Source organism: Homo sapiens, chromosome 2 (assembly GCF_000001405.40).
Source record: "Homo sapiens chromosome 2, GRCh38.p14 Primary Assembly".
NCBI classification, from domain to species: domain Eukaryota; kingdom Metazoa; phylum Chordata; class Mammalia; order Primates; family Hominidae; genus Homo; species Homo sapiens.
This window is the reverse complement of record NC_000002.12, coordinates 76,765,155-76,783,880: the sequence shown is the minus strand read 5'-3', so window position 1 is coordinate 76,783,880 and position 18,726 is coordinate 76,765,155. Positions and strand designations below refer to the sequence as shown.

General features: G+C 37.8%; 1 protein-coding gene and 1 pseudogene across 4 annotated transcripts in view, besides 1 other annotated feature; one reads left to right on the top strand and one right to left on the bottom strand.

Annotated features, from left to right (window-relative positions):
* LRRTM4 (leucine rich repeat transmembrane neuronal 4) overlaps positions 1-18,726 on the top strand; it is a 774,692-nt gene that overhangs the window by 738,496 nt on the left and 17,470 nt on the right. The window lies entirely within an intron of this gene.
* Positions 2,385-2,977: an enhancer, noted in NCBI's record as "NANOG-H3K27ac-H3K4me1 hESC enhancer chr2:77008030-77008622 (GRCh37/hg19 assembly coordinates)". NCBI's record gives its function as "activates a minimal SCP1, AML or CMV promoter by ChIP-STARR-seq in naive H9 embryonic stem cells {active_cell/tissue: H9 hESC(naive)}" and the evidence as "EXISTENCE:reporter gene assay evidence [ECO:0000049][PMID:30033119]".
* Positions 10,836-10,972, bottom strand: RNA5SP98 (RNA, 5S ribosomal pseudogene 98; annotated as a pseudogene).

The window sequence follows — 18,726 nt, the reverse complement described above, 5'->3', positions numbered from 1 at the left end:
CACATTCTTCTCCCATCTTACTCTGAAATGTGCAGAATTAACATTGCAATTAAAATATACGGCACTGCTGAATTTCTTTTTTACTTGTCTGATCTCAGATAAGCAAAGTACTTGCAAGAAATATCCAAGTGGAGCAAAAGGTTTGTACGGGAAATAGGGATGCCAAATGGTATTGTGAAATTCATAAATTCAGTAACCTGAGTTTTACCCGGAATTAGTTTTAATTCAGGATTAAATCAATTAATTTCCTTGTTTAGTTTCAGAGAAACTTTTCACATTAGCATGTTAATTCAAAATTTACACTAAATAGGCGTTTGCCATGGGCCAGGGAGGGAGAATACGGGGAGTTACGCCTTAATAGGTACAGAGTTTCAGTTTGAGATGAAGAGTTCTGGAGGTAGATGGTCATGATGTGGCACAACAATGTAAATGTATTTCACACCACAAAACTGAACACTTAAACACGATTAAAATGGTACATTTTATGTTATGTATATTTTACCATTAAAAAAAGTTTTTAAAAATATACTAAATAAAACACAAATGACTTTTCCAACCATTATTTGCCTTTAATTTAAAATTGGCATTGTTTTCATGTATGGAAAGGTGGATTCCCAGATATCACCAACGTAACCTGATGAAAACACAACATTTAGCTTACTGCTTACTATGGGGTAGGAGTCATGGTAGTGAGGAAAATAATGTGATATATTTATTCATTCAATGTTGGTGGAATATGAATTCTTCCCAATATTAATTAACTCTGATAATTTTGTAACTAATGCTTGTCTGAATATTCTTGTACTGCAACTTCCTGCACCTAAGCATGTGTATCTCTAAGGTGTGTGTGTTCAGCTTTATATATATATATATGGCTGAACAAGAATAAAGATTAAAAGGAATTTTTAAGAAATCTACAATCTTTGAATAAAAGCTTCAACAATTTGTTATATGGTATTTGATTAATTCTAAAGAACACTCTATAATTTAAATTACTTCCCCAATAGCGATTTAAATTTTCTAAAATACGTAACTAATTTAAAATCAATGTAATGTACTTGTAGGTGTTAAACAGTTGACCCTTAAACAACACAGGTTTAACTGTGTGGATCCACTTATATGTGGATTTCTTCAATAAATATGTTGAAAAATTGGAGATTTGTGACGATTTGAAAATGCAAACTGTAAAATATAGAAAAAAATCAGAAAAAGTTAACAGGTATCAAAATGTAAGCAAAAAAGCACAGACCCGTGCAGGGCATCATTTGCAGTTTAAAAAATGTAAACAAATGTAAAGATGCAGTATTAAATCATAACTGCTTAAAATTACCAACAGCAATTTATTACTGTACTGCTGTAATAATTCATAGTCACCTCCTGTTGCTATTGCAGTGAGCTCAAGTGTTGTGAATATTTGCTTAAAACATGTTTAGTGCAATATCGTAAACCTTAAATAACATCATGGGACCCCAAAGAAAGCACCACTAGTTATACTGGAACTTCTCCCAAGCAAAGAAAAGTCATAAAATTACAAGAAAAAGCTGAATTGCTTGATATGTACTGTAGATTTAGATCTGTAGCTGTAGTTGCCTGACATTTCAAGATAAATGAATCCAGTGTAAGGACCACTGTAAAAAAAGGAAAGGAAATTTGTGAAGCCATCGCTGCAGCAACATCAGCAGGCCCGTAAATCTTACATGTGTTGCAAAATACCATTTTATCTTTTATTTAAAGTGGAGCTTTTATGCGGGTGCAAGATAGCTATAAGAAAGGCATACATATGGACTCTAATATAATTTGAGGAAAAAATGAAGTCATTCTATGACAACTTAAAGCAAAAGGAAGGTGAAAGATCTAAAGCCTGAGTATTTAATGTCAGCAAAGGATGGTTTGACAATTTTAGAAAGAGGTTTGGCTTTAAAAAAATGTCAAGATAATATAACAGCAGAAGCAGCTTCTGATGATCAAGAGGCAGCAGATGAGTTTTCAGATACAATTTGTGAAAACCATTGAGGAGAAAAAATATTTACCTGAATAGATTTTTAATGCAGATAAAAAAGTGTCCTCTTCAGGAAAAAAAATAGAAATGCCACAAAGGAAATTTATCAATAAGAGAAATGAGAATAGGAACAGCTCCGGTCTATAGCTCCCAGCGTGAGCGACGCAGAGGACGGGTGATTTCTGCATTTCCATCTGAGGTACCGGGTTAATCTCATTGGGAGTGCCAGACAGTGGGCGCAGGTCAGTGGGTGCGCGCACCATGCGCGAGCCGAAGCAGGGCGAGGCATTGCCTCACTTGGGAAGCGCAAGGGGTCACGGAGTTCCCTTTCTGAGTCAAAGAAAGGGGTGATGCACCGCACCTGGAAAATCGGGTCACTCCCACCCGAATACTGCGCTTTTCAGACGGGCTTAAAAAAGGGGCCCACCACAAGATTATATGCCACACCTGGCTCGGAGGGTCCTACGCCCACGGAGTCTCGCTGATTGCTAGCACAGCAGTCTGAGATCAAACTGCAAGGCGGCAGCCAGGCTGGGGGAGGGGTGCCCGCCATTGAACAGGCTTGATTAGGTAAACAAAGCAGCCAGGAAGCTCGAACTGGGTGGAGCCCACCACAGCTCAAGGAGGCCTGCCTGCCTCTGTAGGCTCCACCTCTGGGGGCAGGGCACAGACAAACAAAAAGACAGCAGTAACCTCTGCAGACTTAAATGTCCCTGTCTGACAGCTTTGAAGAGAGCTGTGGTTCTCCCAGCATGCAGCTGGAGATCTGAGAATGGGCAGACTGCCTCCTCAAGTGGGTCCCTGACCCCAGAACAGCCTAACTGGGAGGCACCCCCAAGCACGGGCACACTGACACCTCACACGGCAGGGTATTCCAACAGACCTGCAGCTGAGGGTCCTCTCTGTTAGAAGGAAAACTAACAAACAGAAAGGACATCCACACCACAAACCCATCTGTACATCACCATCATCAAAGACCAAAAGTAGATAAAAACCACAAAGACGGGGAAAAAACAGAACAGAAAAACTGGAAACTCTGAAAAGCAGAGCACCTCTCCTCCTCCAAAGGAACGCAGTTCCTCACCAGCAACGGAACAAAGCTGGATGGAGAATGACTTTGACAAGCTGAGAGAAGAAGACTTCAGACAATCAAATTACTCTGAGCTACGGGAGGACATTGAAACCAAAGGCAAAGAAGTTGAAAACTTTGAAAAAAATTTAGAAGAATGTATTACTAGAATAACCAATACAGAGAAGTGCTTAAAGGAGGTGATGGAGCTGAAAACCAAGGCTCGAGAACTACGTGAAGAATGCAGAAGCCTCAGGAGCCGATGCGATCAACTGGAAAAAAGGGTATCAGCAATGGAAGATGAAATGAATGAAATGAAGCGAGAAGGGGTTTAGAGGAAAAAGAATAAAAAGAAATGAGCAAAGCCTCCAAGAAATATGGGACTATGTGAAAAGACCAAATCTACGTCTGATTGGTGTACCTGAAAGTGATGGGGAGAATGGAACCAAGTTGGAAAACACTCTGCAGGAGATTATCCAGGAGAACTTCCCCAATCTAGCAAGGCAAGCCAATGTTCAGATTCAGGAAATACAGAGAACAACACAAAGATACTCCTCGAGAAGAGCAACTCCAAGACAATAATTGTCAGATTCACCAAAGTTGAAATGAAGGAAAAAATGTTAAGGGCAGCCAGAGAGAAAGGTCGGGTTACCCTCAAAGGGAAGCCCATCAGACTAACAGCGGATCTCTCGGCAGAAACCCTGCAAGCCAGAAGAGAGTGGGGGCCAATATTCAACATTCATAAAGAAAAGAATTTTCAACCCAGAATTGCATATCCAGCCAAACTAAGCTTCATAAGTGAAGGAGAAATAAAATACTTTACAGACAAGCAAATGCTGAGAGATTTTGTCACCACCAGGCCTGCCTTACAAGAGCTCCTGAAGGAAGCACTAAACATGGAAAGGAACAACCGGTACCAGCCGCTGCAAAATCATGCCAAAATGTAAAGACCATCAAGACTAGGAAGAAACTGCATCAACTAACGAGCAAAATAACCAGCTAACATCATAATGATAAGATCAAATTCACACAAAACAATATTATCTTTAAATGTAACTGGACTAAATGCTCCAATTAAAAGACACAGACTGGCAAATTGGATAAAGAGTCAAGACCCATCAGTGTGCTGTATTCAGGAAACCCATCTCACGTGCAGAGACACATATAGGCTCAAAATAAAAGGATGGAGGAAGATCTACCAAGCCAATGGAAAACAAAAAAAGGCAGGGGTTGCAATCCTAGTCTCTGATAAAACAGACTTTAAACCAACAAAGATCAAAAGAGACAGTGAAGGCCATTACATGATGGTAAAGGGATCAATTCAACAAGAAGAGCTAACTATCCTAAATATATATGCACCCAATACAGGAGCACCCAGATTCATAAAGCAAGTCCTGAGCGACCTACAAAGAGACTTAGACTCCCATACATTAATAATGGGAGACTTTAACACCCCACTGTCAACATTAGACAGATCAATGAGACAGAAAGTCAACAAGGATACCCAGGAATTGAACTCAGCTCTGCACCAAGCAGACCTAATAGACATCTACAGAACTCTCCACCCCAAATCAACACAATATACATTTTTTTCAGCACCACACCACACCTATTCCAAACATGACCACATACTTGGAAGTAAAGCTCTCCTCAGCAAATGTAAAAGAACAGAAATTATAACAAACTATCTCTCAGACCACAGTGCAATCAAACTAGAACTCAGGATTAAGAATCTCACTCAAAACCACTCAACTACATGGAAACTGAACAACCTGCTCCTGAATGACTACTGGGTACATAACGAAATGAAGGCACAAATAAGGATGTTCTTTGAAACCAACGAAAACAAAGACACAACATACCAGAATCTCTGGGATGCATTCAAAGCAGTGTGTAAAGGGAAATTTATAGCACTAAATGCCCACAAAAGAAAGCAGGAAAGATCCAAAATTGACACCCTAACATCACAATTAAAAGAACTAGAAAAGCAAGAGCAAACACATTCAAAAGCTAGCAGAAGGCAAGAAATAACTAAACTCAGAGCAGAACTGAAGGAAATAGAGACACAAAAAACCCTTCAAAAAATTAATGAATCCAGGAGCTGGTTTTTTGAAAGGATCAACAAAATTGATAGACCGCTAGCAAGACTAATAAAGAAAAAAAGAGAGAAGAATCAAATGGATGCAGTAAAAAATGATAAAGGGGATATCACCACCGATCCCACAGAAATACAAACTACCATCAGAGAATACTACAAACACCTCTACGCAAATAAACTAGAAAATCTACAAGAAATGGATAAATTCCTCGACACATACACTCTCCCAAGACTAACCCAGGAAGAAGTTGAATCTCTGAATAGACCAATAACAGGAGCTGAAATTGTGGCAATAATCAATAGCTTACCAACCAAAAAGAGTCCAGGACCAGATGGATTCACAGCCGAATTCTACCAGAGGTACAAGGAGGAACTGGTACCATTCCTTCTGAAACTATTCCAATCAATAGAAAAAGAGGGAATCCTCCCTAACTCATTTTATGAGGCCAGCATCATCCTGATACCAAAGCCGGGCAGAGACACAACCAAAAAAGAGAATTTTAGACCAATATCCTTGATGAACATTGATGCAAAAATCCTCAATAAAATACTGGCAAAACGAATCCAGCAGCACATCAAAAAGCTTATCCACCATGATCAAGTGGGCTTCATCCCTGGGATGCAAGGCTGGTTCAATAGACGCAAATCAATAAATGTAATCCAGCATATAAACAGAGCCAAAGACAAAAACCACATGATTATCTCAATAGATGCAGAAAAAGCCTTTGACAAAATTCAACAACCCTTCATGCTAAAAACTCTCAATAAATTAGGCATTGATGGGACGTATTTCAAAATAATAAGAGCTATCTATGACAAACCCACAGCCAATATCATACTGAATGGGCAAAAACTGGAAGCATTCCCTTTGAAAACTGGCACAAGACAGGGATGCCCTCTCTCACCACTCCTATTCAACATAGTGTTGGAAGTTCTGGCCAGGGCAATTAGGCAGGAGAAGGAAATAAAGGGTATTCAGTTAGGAAAAGAGGAAGTCAAATTGTCCCTGTTTGCAGACGACATGATTGTATATCTAGAAAACCCCATTGTCTCAGCCCATAATCTCCTTAAGCTGATAAGCAACTTCAGCAAAGTCTCAGGATACAAAATCAATGTGCAAAAATCACAAGCATTCTTATACACCAACAACAGACAAACAGAGAGCCAAATCATGAGTGAACTCCCATTCACAATTGCTTCAAAGAGAATAAAATACCTAGGAATCCAACTTACAAGGGATGTGAAGGACCTCTTCAAGGAGAACTACAAACCACTGCTCCAGGAAATAAAAGAGGATACAAACAAATGGAAGAACATTCCATGCTCATGGGTAGGAAGAATCAATATCGTGAAAATGGCCATACTGCCCAAGGTAATTTACAGATTCAATGCCATCCCCATCAAGCTACCAATGCCTTTCTTCACAGAATTGGAAAAAACTACTTTAAAGTTCATATGGAACCAAAAAAGAGCCCGCATGGCCAAGTCAATCCTAAGCCAAAAGAACAAAGCTGGATGCATCACACTCCCTGACTTCAAACTATACTGCAAGGCTACAGTAACCAAAACAGCATGGTACTGGTACCAAAACAGAGATATAGATCAATGGAACAGAACAGAGCCCTCAGAAATAATGCCGCGTATCTACAACTATCTGATCTTTGACAAACCTGAGAAAAACAAGCAATGGGGAAAGGATTCCCTATTTAATAAATGGTGCTGGGAAAACTGGCTAGCCATATGTAGAAAGCTGAAACTGGATCCCTTCCTTACACCTTATACAAAAATCAATTCAAGATGGATTAAAGACTTAAACATTAGACCTAAAACCATAAAAACCCTAGAAGAAAACCTAGGCAATACCATTCAGGACATAGGCATGGGCAAGGACTTCATGTCTAAAACACCAAAAGCAATGGCAACAAAAGCCAAAATTGACAAATGGGATCTAATTAAACTAAAGAGCTTCTGCACAGCAAAAGAAACTACCATCAGAGTGAACAGGCAACCTACAAAATGGGAGAAAATTTTCGCAACCTACTCATCTGACAAAGGGCTAATATCCAGAATCTACAATGAACTCAAACAAATTTACAAGAAAAAAACAAACAACCCTATCAAAAAGTGGGCAAAGGTCATGAACAGACACTTCTCAAAAGAAGACATTTATGCAGCCAAAAAACACATGAAAAAATGCTCATCATCACTGGCCATCAGAGAAATGCAAATCAAAACCACAATGAGATACCATCTCACACCAGTTAGAATGGCAATCTTTCAAAAGTCAGGAAACAACAGGTGCTGGAGAGGATGTGGAGAAATAGGAACACTTTTACACTGTTGGTGGGACTGTAAACTAGTTCAACCATTGTGGAAGTCAGTGTGGCGATTCCTCAGGGATCTGGAACTGGAAATACCATTTGACCCAGCCATCCCATTACTGGGTATATACCCAAAGGATTATAAATCATGCTGCTATAAAGACACATGCACATGTATGTTTATTGCGGCATTATTCACAACAGCAAAGACTTGGAACCAACCCAAATGTCCAACAATGATAGACTGGATTAAGAAAATGTGGGACATATACACCGTGGAATACTATGCAGCCATAAAAAATGATGAGTTCATGTCCTTTGTAGGGACATGGATGAAATTGGAAATCATCATTCTCAGTAAACTACTGCAAGAACAAAAAACCAAACACCGCATATTGTCACTCATAGGCGGGAAGTGAACAATAAGATCATATGGACACAGGAAGGGGAATATCACACTCTGGGGACTGTTGTGGGGTGGGGGGAGGCGGGAGGGATAGCATTGGGAGACATACCTAATGCTAGATGACGAGTTAGTGGGTGCAGCGCACCAGCATGGCACATGTATACATATGTAACTAACCTGCACAATATGCACATGTACCCTAAAACTTAAAGTATAATAAAAAAATAAATTTAAAAAAAAGAGAGAGAAATGAGCACCAAGATTTAACATAGGAAGGGATAGGCTAACTCCACTGTTTCGTGCAAATGTAGTCAGATTTATGACCAGGACTGCACTTATCTATAAAGCTGCTAACTCCTGAGCCTTGATGGTAAAAGATAAACACCAGCTGCCAGTCTTTTGCTTGTAAAACAGGAAGGTCTGTTTTACAACAAGAACTCTTTTTTTAAATTGATTCTATTGATGATTTGTCCCTATTGTCAAAAAATACCTTTCCAGTATATAATTGCCCTTTAGAGTTCTTTTGATATTGAACAATGCCCCTGGCTGCCCAGAGCCTCATGAGTTCAGCACCAAAGGCATCTACATGGTCTACTTGCCCTCAAATGCATTTCTGATTCAATCTCTAGATCAGGGGATCATAAGGACCTTTCAGACTCATTACACATGGTACTATATAGAAAGGATTGCCAATGTTGTGGAAGATAACCATGATTGAACATTATGAAAGTCTGGAAGGATTACACCATTGAAAATGTCATGCTACTTACAGAAAAAATTGCAAAAGCCATCAAGCCCAAAACAATAAATGCCTGCTGGAAGAAACAATGTCTAAATGTTGTGAATGAATTCATAAGATTTATGATAGAGCCAATCAAAGAAATCATGAAGAGATAATGGATATGCAAAAAGTCAGGGGAGGGTTTCAAGATATGTATCTTGGAGAAATTCGAGAGCTAAGAGACACCACACTAGAGGAATTAAAAGAAGACAACTTTATGGAGATGAGTGCTTTTGAACCAGTACCTGCTACGGAAGAAGACATAGAAGAAGCAATGCCAGAAAACAAATTTACATTAGACAATCTGGCAAAAGGATTTCAATTATTTAAGACTAACTTTGACTTTGTTTACTACGTGAACACTCCTATGATACAAGTACTGAAACTTACGCAAACAGTGGCAAAAATATTGGTACTCTATAGAAATGTTTTTAGAGAAATTAGAAAGCAAAAATGTCAGACAGAAATTATGATGTGTTTCCATAAAGTTACACGGAATGTGCCTGACTCTCCTGCCTCTCCTTCCACCTCCTCTACCTTTTCTGCCTCTGTCACCCCTGAGACAGCAAGACCAACCCTTCCTCATGTTCCTCCTCCTTAGCCTACTCAATGTGAAGATAATAAGGATGAAGCTCTTTATCATAATCCATTTTCACTTAATGAATACTAAATATATTTTGTCTTTTTTAAATTTTCTTAATAATGTTCTCTTTTATTGGCTGGGCACGGTGGCTCATGCCTGTAATCCCAGCACTTTGTGAGGCCAAGGCAGGCAGATCACGAGGTCAGGAGATTGAGACCACACTGGCCAACATGGTGAAACCCCTTCTCTACTAAAAATACAAAAATTATCTGGGAGTGGTGGCACGTGCCTGTAATCCCAGCTACTAGGGAGGTTGAGGCAGGAGAATTGCTTGAACCGGGGAGTCAGAAGTTGGAAGTTGCAGTGAGCCAAGATTGCACCACTGCACTCCAGCCTGGCCACAGAGCAAGACTCCATCTAAAAACTAAAAATAAAAAAAAAAAAAGTTCCCTTTTCTTTAGCTTACTTTATTGTAAGAATACAGCATATAATGCATATAATATACAAAATATATATTGACTATGTTCTTGCTAAAACCTCCAGTCAAAAGTAGGCTATTAGTAGCTAAGTTTTCGGGTAGTCAAAAGATATATATGGATTTTGACTGTGGTGTCTTTCATCCGCACATTGTTCAAAGATCCGCTATATATTTTTTTCTCAAACAGCTATAATTATCTCAATTGAAGATGTATTTATCATTAACGGAATTTAAGAATTCTGGAAATATGTTATACCAGGTAAATAAAATTTATTGATTCCAGGATCAAACCTCTGCTACCATTATTCGTAATTTTGTCTACATGGTAAAAAAAAAAAATGCCAAAAACTTTGAGGAATTGTTCAATTTCTCTTTAGATTTCTATTTGTTTACTTCTTCCTAAAATCTTTTTGATTTTATATATTTTATTAATGTGTTTTTCTGTGTAAAGATTACATCTTAGGAAATTTTAAATTTATTTTTAAATTAATTTAAGGGGAATTTTAATAATTTATTATTTATTTTTTATTTTTAGTTGTTCCTTTGCTTTGAATCACTTTATCTAAAATTAACATTTTTCTTTAAATTCAACTTCTAGAATGATAAATGACATCACTTTACTATATGAAATCATAATGAAAAATGTGTGATTTTACTTTTTCACATATATACTGCATAATATACTAGCTTTCACTGAAATGTTATGAGTTTTGTCAAAGAAGAATTGTACTGAATAAAGTTAAATGGCAAGAAAGAGTTTATTTAAGACTACTGCAATAAGAGAGAAAAATTAAACAGAACTTTGCTGGAAGCAAAGGCAGAAAAGTGTGTAAGCCCTGGACTGAGCTAGTGAAAAACTACTGGAGGCCATTATGGTGGAGAATGATAAATGTGATTAGGCCATCTGGGTTTGCTACTTGGGGCTTATGGAAATTAGGCTCCTATCATTCCCCAGAGACTGGAAGATAGAGGCGCCATTATTCCTGATGATTACATTTCAAAGAGATGTCTCCCAGGTCCTTGAGAAAGATATTCCTGGTTTGTAAAATTGGCAAGAGTTAGGGAAAAGGCACACAATAGTACTCCTTATCCTTGGGGGATACATGCAAGACCTTCAATTCGTGAATGAAACCATAGATAGTACCAGACTCCCATCCAAGTACTAAACAGGCCCTACCCTGCTTAGCTTTTGAGATCAGATGAGATCAGGCGCATACAGGGTGATATGGTAGTAGACCCAAACTCTATATATAGTATGTTTTTCCTATATATTCCATACCTATGATAAAGTTTAATTTATAAATTAGTCACAATAAGAGATTAACAACAATAATTACTAATAAAATAAAACAACTATAACAACAGACCGTAATAAAAGTTATACAACTGCAGTCTCTTTCTCAAAATGTCTTATTGTACTATACTGAGAGTAACTGAATCCCTAGAAAGGAAAAATGTGAATAAGTGGGCACTACTGTACCTCAAAGGAGTGGAGAAAGAAATTCAAATTGTAAGTTTTCTAAGTTAATGCCCCTTTAAATGGAGGTCAGGGGCTTATAGGCCAAAAAAAATATCTGTCCAAAGGTTGGTCAAATTGAGACTGTCATGTTCAGTTTTACAACTAGGTTATGATTTTTAAAACATATTTGTCCCTTTCAACATTTATTTTCTATTATTTTAGTACTAGACTACCAACTTTTATTTAGACATTGCTCAGTTTCCTATTCTCTTTGCCTATCACTACTTCTTTCCCATTTAATTTTTCTTAGTCTGTTCAGGCTGCTATAACAAAAAGTACCCTAGACTGGGTGGCTTTAATTAAAAAAAATTATTTCTCACATTTCTGGAGCCTGGGAAGTTCAAGATCGAAATGGTGGCTGATCTGATGTCCTCCCTCTTGGTTCATAGATGGCCGTCTTCTCAATGTGTCTGCATTTGGTGGAAAAGAGTAGAGTCAGAGAGCTCTCCGGGTTTCTTTGATAATGGCACTGGTCCCATGATGAGAGCTCCACTCTTATGATCTAATTACCTCCCAAAGGTCTTACTTCTTAATACCATCGAATTGGGTGTTACGATCTCAACATAGAAATTTAGGGAGATACAACATTCGGTCCATAACACCATTCTTACATAATTCCCTTAAATCTTGGCATTTGTGTCATACCTACTCCCTATGTTTTGATGTCTATTTTGGTTTATTATCCCTCTCTTTTTGATAAGAGAAACGCTGGACTGCAGCTTTCCTCAAAAATCACCTGGGTAGGTGTCCCTCAAACTCCTCATCGTCACATAGAGTTAGAGTCCTCCAGGATGTGAGGTTGGTTGAAGGGGCTGTTGAATCAAGAATTCTACAGCATTAGAGGCAAAGGAAGGGACCAGTCCCTTGGGTATGTGAGGAGAAAGATCTTCTGCCTGCAGTTTAGGTTCACCTCTGCCTTTGATGTGCCTTCCAGGCCAGACTTAAACTGATGTTCTTCTTTTCTTTTTCTTTTTTTTTTTTTTTTCTGTTCACCTGGCAAGAATTTGAGGTACAGCACGCAGTCTTCTTGCTGCTTCAGGCAAGTGTTTTAGCCAAAGCCCGAAGCAAAGGCAGTGCTCAGCCTCAGCTCCTCCAGGCAGCTACTTAAAAAAGTGGTGGGAGCTCAGTGGTTAAAGGGGTTCCTCCTGGAGCCCTTGCTACTGTCCCACCTCACCTCCATTCCTCATTCTTACAAACAAGGTCATTTTCATGGGATTTTGCTTCAATCTTATCTAAATCAGATGGAGTAGTTCTGAGTCAGCCATTGTTTTCTTTCTTCTATCTCATTCCTGCTGCATTAAATCTCACCGAAACCCTCTAAGGTCATGGGACATGAATGGGACTTGATACTGTTTCCGAAGAGCTGATACAGCGATTCCAACTCCTGTGGCTCTCCCTTCATCTTTTTCTTCCTTTAATCATTTCTTTGAATTGAAAGTGAGGAATCAGTGATTGTGTCACTGTATTTTCAACAATTCGTTACCTTGTAAAAAGTTTTTTTCAGGATTAAATCTGGATTAGAAACTAAAGTACAAGAAGAGGCAAATATTAAATGTTAAGGAGCTAGGAATAACATCATTAAACAGACATCTACAACTGTAAGGGCTTGCATTTGACAGTCAAATAATCAAATTATTCTTAGGATCTTTTCTAACGATTGTATAAATGAGGAGCATGTGGTAGCATTCTGTTTTTTGAGGATTACAGAGAAAAGGCTAACTTGAACTCTTGGAACATGTAGCACAGTGTGAGTACTTAGTTGACCTAGAAAAGCTCTCCAAGGGATCGAGAAACAATTAGAAATTTAAATGCATGAAAATGGAGACATATTTTATGTTATGTCAGATGTTTCAATTGTACTACTGGGGGGTAGAAGACCTTCTGTGACTTTGCTGGTGGTTTTTAAAAAATGCTGAATATGTAAAAGGAGATGTATTTTACATAGCTTTTACTTTTAATCAAGAGATCTCAATGTATTTTACAGGTAGTTACTCATCTTTTAAAAAGAATTAAAATGACCTCCAAACCAGAAAGAAACAAGCAAAAATACTGGCCTTTTCATCCCGAAATTAAAACATTAACAAACATTTAAATAGAGAACACATATTTGATATCAACTGTGTTGCAGATATAGGTGGCTGGGGGTTACATAGGTACAAGACACAAACCTTACCCTCCAGAACATTACACTACTCCAGAAAGCAGTTCCTCTGTGGTCCCTGGTAACAATTTTTGGAAAGTAAAAATCACCACATGGTCAATACAGATGATGGAGATGGGAGTTCAGAACAGCAAAAAGTTACTGTTATTAAGAAATGAGTTTACCGAAGGAGCTAATATTTTGTATGAGTTTTGAAAGACAAGGATTTATGACATTGCAGAAAATATAGCAACCATGATCTATTTCACATGTATTATATTATTAATCCTTTAAAACTTGGCATTGTTCATGAAAAAAGTCCATTTTCCATCTAAGCCCCTTTTTGAAACTTACATTTCCCTTTTATTTGGTAACTAGTCAATTGACTTTCAGACTGATTGACTACATCTGGTGAGTCTTCATCTCCCACTCTAAAAGCAACAGTATGCATCAGAATAATGTCAGGCCTGCTCAAACAGATTCCTGGGCCCAAGCCCAGAGGTTTGATCGAGTAGGTCTGGGATGGGGATAAATGATTTATATTTCTAAGAAGTTTATAGTTGATGCTATTGCTGCTGTGACTTCTCAGCATTCTGAAAAAAAGGTATTATTTTTTGTTATAATGCACTTTTTTATCTAGGCATGGCAGAAACATAGGGCTTCTATTTTTCCTATGAAAAATACAATTTCCATTCTGGTAGATAATTTCCGTGAAACAACTGATCTGTAAAGCAGTGCTTCACAAACTTTAATATAAATACGAGTCATCTGGGGGGTCCTGTTAAAATGCCGATACGAATTCAGTATGTTGGCGTCAGACATGAGAGTTTGCATTTCTAATAAAATCCTAAGTCAGGTGAATTACAGTAGGTGGACCAATGTGATAAAGAACATTGGACACACTTAGCATAGGATTTTAACAACCATATTATTGTTTTCGTTATTATTTTTGTTTTTTTTTCAGTTGCAAGTGAGCTTTTATTTAGAGACGTCTCAAATCCGAAATTCATTTAATTATTTTCCCAGCTTAGCTTATATTATCACTGTCAACTACTCCCAATAGAGAAGTTTGTGTTCACAGAAAACACAGACTAAGGCAAAAGCAGGCCTTAAATATCTTCCAAATTAATTTCTTCATTTTATTTATCAGGACATTTTTCTAGTCCTACATGTGATTGGGAATAAGAACATAGTGGAATCATTAGAGATCACTTTTCTGTGTGTTTTTCAGGGTAGATTAAGTCTAAGTAAATAGGAGTTCCTTAAATAGTGGTGGCAGTTTATGAAACCAAGGGAGCAGAACGTTCCTTCTAGTCCTATGAAGATGTTAATGACCTTCACCTGCCTCTTTTTATGGTCATGAAATGAAATACATTCTTTATAGCCCCACTGTTCCTAAAACTATTTAGTGATTATGAGGAGGCCCTCAAAGAAAGTTGAGTCATTTCTTAAACTGTGCCACAAGATGCTTCGTTTGGTATCTTTGTTCAAACCTCTTTGTAACACTAACTAGAGTGATGTGTACATCAAGAAAAGACATTTCTTTGTGTCAGTTTTATGTGAATTTCAATATAGCATGTCCCCAGCACATTCTATAGCCTACAAATAATGAAAAAAGCAATTAATCTCTCCAAATCATTCAGAAATATTTACCGGTTTCATGCAGGAGGAATCAGATCCTAATTTCAGTGAAGTCTCCGCAATGCCTAGTGAGAATATCTTTGTTCTCGTACTGCATGAAAGATATTTGGAGAAAGTTGCCATAAATAATAAGGGATTTTTTATTTTCCTAATTTTTGAGGATATATTTGTACCTATAAGAGGAAAAAATAGAAGAGCTCTTTGAATTTACAATCATAAACTTCCAGTCCTAACTCTTTCCATATATAAATTTAGGACATTTATGTTGTGCTTTCTCTCAATTAGCCATAGAAATTGGGGAAAAAAATGTTTTCCCCAAGCATGGATAATTTGTGTATCTCTAGAAAGAGTATTTATACCTCTTTGAAGAAACCGTCACTTCCTGGGTAGTTCTTTTGCATGCTTTAAACTCTGGATTGACCTAATGAAAAGCCAATATTTATTCTAAAGAAAAAATCTAATTTCACTCATCCACCAATGCATCAATTTATCACAGTGTTGGCCAGACTAAGCTTTTGATATTAAGTGTTGTGTGTATTTGTTGTGAAAAATAGATAGAAGAAGTTACCATTCTTAGAATTGTTGCATGTAAAGAAACCAATATACTTTTCCTCTATTGTCATAATTTCTTAGAGAAGAGAAGCTATTACTTTCAAATAGCAACATTTTATATTTTCAAACCAAAGGCCTTACATAAATTATATCACTTTGTCTTTTAAAAAAGATTCTATCTCTATATAATATGCACATAAATTAAAACCTGCTTTTTCTGTTTCCTGAGTATAGTCTTTAAGAATCAATCAATTATGTCACAAATTTCTTATGAAATTGGCTTATATTGTCATTTCAAGGGACTGGCACTTAGAAAATTAATGTTTAAATGATTTTATGCCTAACATTTCATTAAATCCCAGGAATAGGCTTAATTAATATTTTATAGATTCTTTCTGCTGCTGATGGTTTGCGTGTCATTCTGACTCAAAAGACAGAACTCAGTCCATTTTAACATTTAGGTGCCAGAGACAAACCTGCATTTTGCAAAAATAGGCAAGAGTAGATGTGAAGAGGCATGTAAAAATAAAAGAAGAACAAAGGAAGAGAAAAAGGGAAGCAGGACAGGAGGAAAGAAGTTAAGGAAGAGAAGTAAAAGAAAGAGAAAATGAAATGCTATGCAGAGTGGGAGCATGGATTGCCATCAAGACTTGCCTTGAATGCTACCCTGAAAATCTGTTTGTGATTCACACTTGGATGATAAACTACAGCCAACTGTAGCTTTAGATATTATAGAGTGGTTTATTTCTGAAGGCAGAGTATCTACACGAGATAGTATTTGAGCACAAGTCTTAAGAACCACTTTCAGTATGTGATCTTGGGCAAGTCATTTCACACCTGTGCCTCAATTTTACCATTTTTTAAATGGGAATCCTATTACTACCCGAATTATAGCATTGCTGTGAACACTAAATGAGTTTTCAATTCACATAAAGCACTCATAAAGATGGGTGACACAGAGACATCACTCAATAAATGTTAGCAATTAGTACAGATGAAAGAAGTTTGTCATTTCACCTCTAATGTAATACACAAATTAAGATGATGTTAAACGTCCATATAAATTGCTGCATGTGCACCTAAATTACATGTCAGTCAGAATGCCAGAAAGAAATACTGCACACTCAAAACTTTGAATAAAAAGAGAATTTAATAGAGGGAATTTTGTAGAAATAGGAGTAGTGTTAAGGGGAGGATCTGCAAAGGGTGGTGAAAAATTCAAACAGAAACAACAGGAATCTCTTACCACTCCACTAGGCCTGAAGAGATAAAGTGAAGATGCAGGGTTATCAGATCTAGGTAGGAGCTGTAGCTGTGAAGGAGGGCTTGTCTAGAGGGCTCATCTAGCAAGATCTATATTTATAGCCTAGGGTTTCTCAGCAGCTGCACTTTTGACATTTTAGATCAGATAGTTCTTTTTTCCTTGGGGGTAACAGGGTATTCTGCACATTGTAGCATGTTTAGAAACACCCCTTGCCTGTACCCACTAGATGCCAGTAGACCTCAATCTCCACAACCAAAAATGTCTCCAGACACTGCTAAAAATTCCCTAGGAGGAAAATTGCCACAGGTTGACAACTACTGCTGTAGCAGAAACCAGTTACTTCAGAACTGTAGCAAGGCAGGAATGATTAGCAAGAAATAAATACTACCTCTCCTATTGGCACTGGGTGCCTCTTACTTACAGAAATGAATCAGCCAGACAGCAAGAGAACTTGATGAAGGAATCTAGTCATAGAACAAGCCTCCTTGGGCACAATGCAGGGCAGAGAAGGGCAGTTAAAAGAACTGAAGGGGTAAAAGGTTAGCCAATATGCAATCCAAAGACATGGATTAATTTAGAGTTGCCTGGACTCCATTTCAGTAGTCGTGGTCCTTTGGGATAACATAGAAAGACAAGGAGAACTGCACCTTAGAGGATCTTAAGAAAATGTATTAATGCCGTGGTCCCCAGTTGGATACCATGAGAAATAGAGCCTAAATATATATAAATGGCTCCAGTTTGGATTTCAATTGTATGTTAAATGTAACTTAGCACAAGAAAGGAACAATTCGCCACATGTATAACCCCCTCCCAGTTCCAGCCTCATTTAAATGTTATAAAGATCTGTACTATGTAATGGAGAAAGAAGGAAGATGTTCAAGAAAGGATAAATGATCATGCTTCTGTAGGCTCTTCCCTAAATTCAGAGGTACTTTCTCTGGAGAAAGATCCCAGTATCTGGAGGAAGCTAATATAATGATCCTTGTGGTCTTCCTCTCAGTCCAGAGTCTATAAATTAGATAAATTCCACTAAAGCCACCACTCAATTATTAAATTGCAGAATTTCACTCATCTCTCTTTCAAGAAATGTTTTTGGACACCTGCAGAAGAACTAACAATACTTTCTCACAAAATGCTTCATCAGCTGCAGCTACATTTCCTCCATCATTGTGACATCATCCACATATCTTCATACAAAGCCTTACCAGGCCATGGTGATGGTGCCTATGTTAGCAGGCTCAGGCTCTCAGAATGAAATACCACAGATGGGTTGGCTTAAACAACAGAGGCTTATTTCACAGTCCTGGAGGCCAGAAGTCCAAGCTTAAGGTGATAGCAAGGAAGGCTTCATTCTGAGGCCCCTTATTTTGGCTAGTAGACAGTAGTGATCTCAAGTGTGCTCACATGACCTCTCCTTTGTACACATGGGGAAAGAGAAAAAGGGAGAAAAAGAACTCTCTAGCATCTCATCTTGTTAAGGGCACTAATTCTAGTGGATCAGTTTTCCAACTTTATGACCTCATTTAGCCTTAGTTACTACCTTAGAGGCCCTATCTCCAAATGTAGCCATACTGAGGGTTAGGACACATAATATTCTGCTCCTCTTCCCCAAAACTTTACGTTCTGTTTGCATGCAAAATAAATTTATTTCATCCAAGCATCCCCCAAAACATTAACTTTTTCCTGTATAAACTCCAAACTCTCAAATAATATCACTTAAATCAGATATAGGTGAGAATGGAAGTGTATAGTTCATCCTGATGCAAAATTTCTCTCTAGCTGTGAACTGAGAAACTACACAAATTACGTGCTTCCAAAGTATCATGCTGTGACATGCATAGAATAGACGACCTATTCTAACAGAGAGAAATGAAA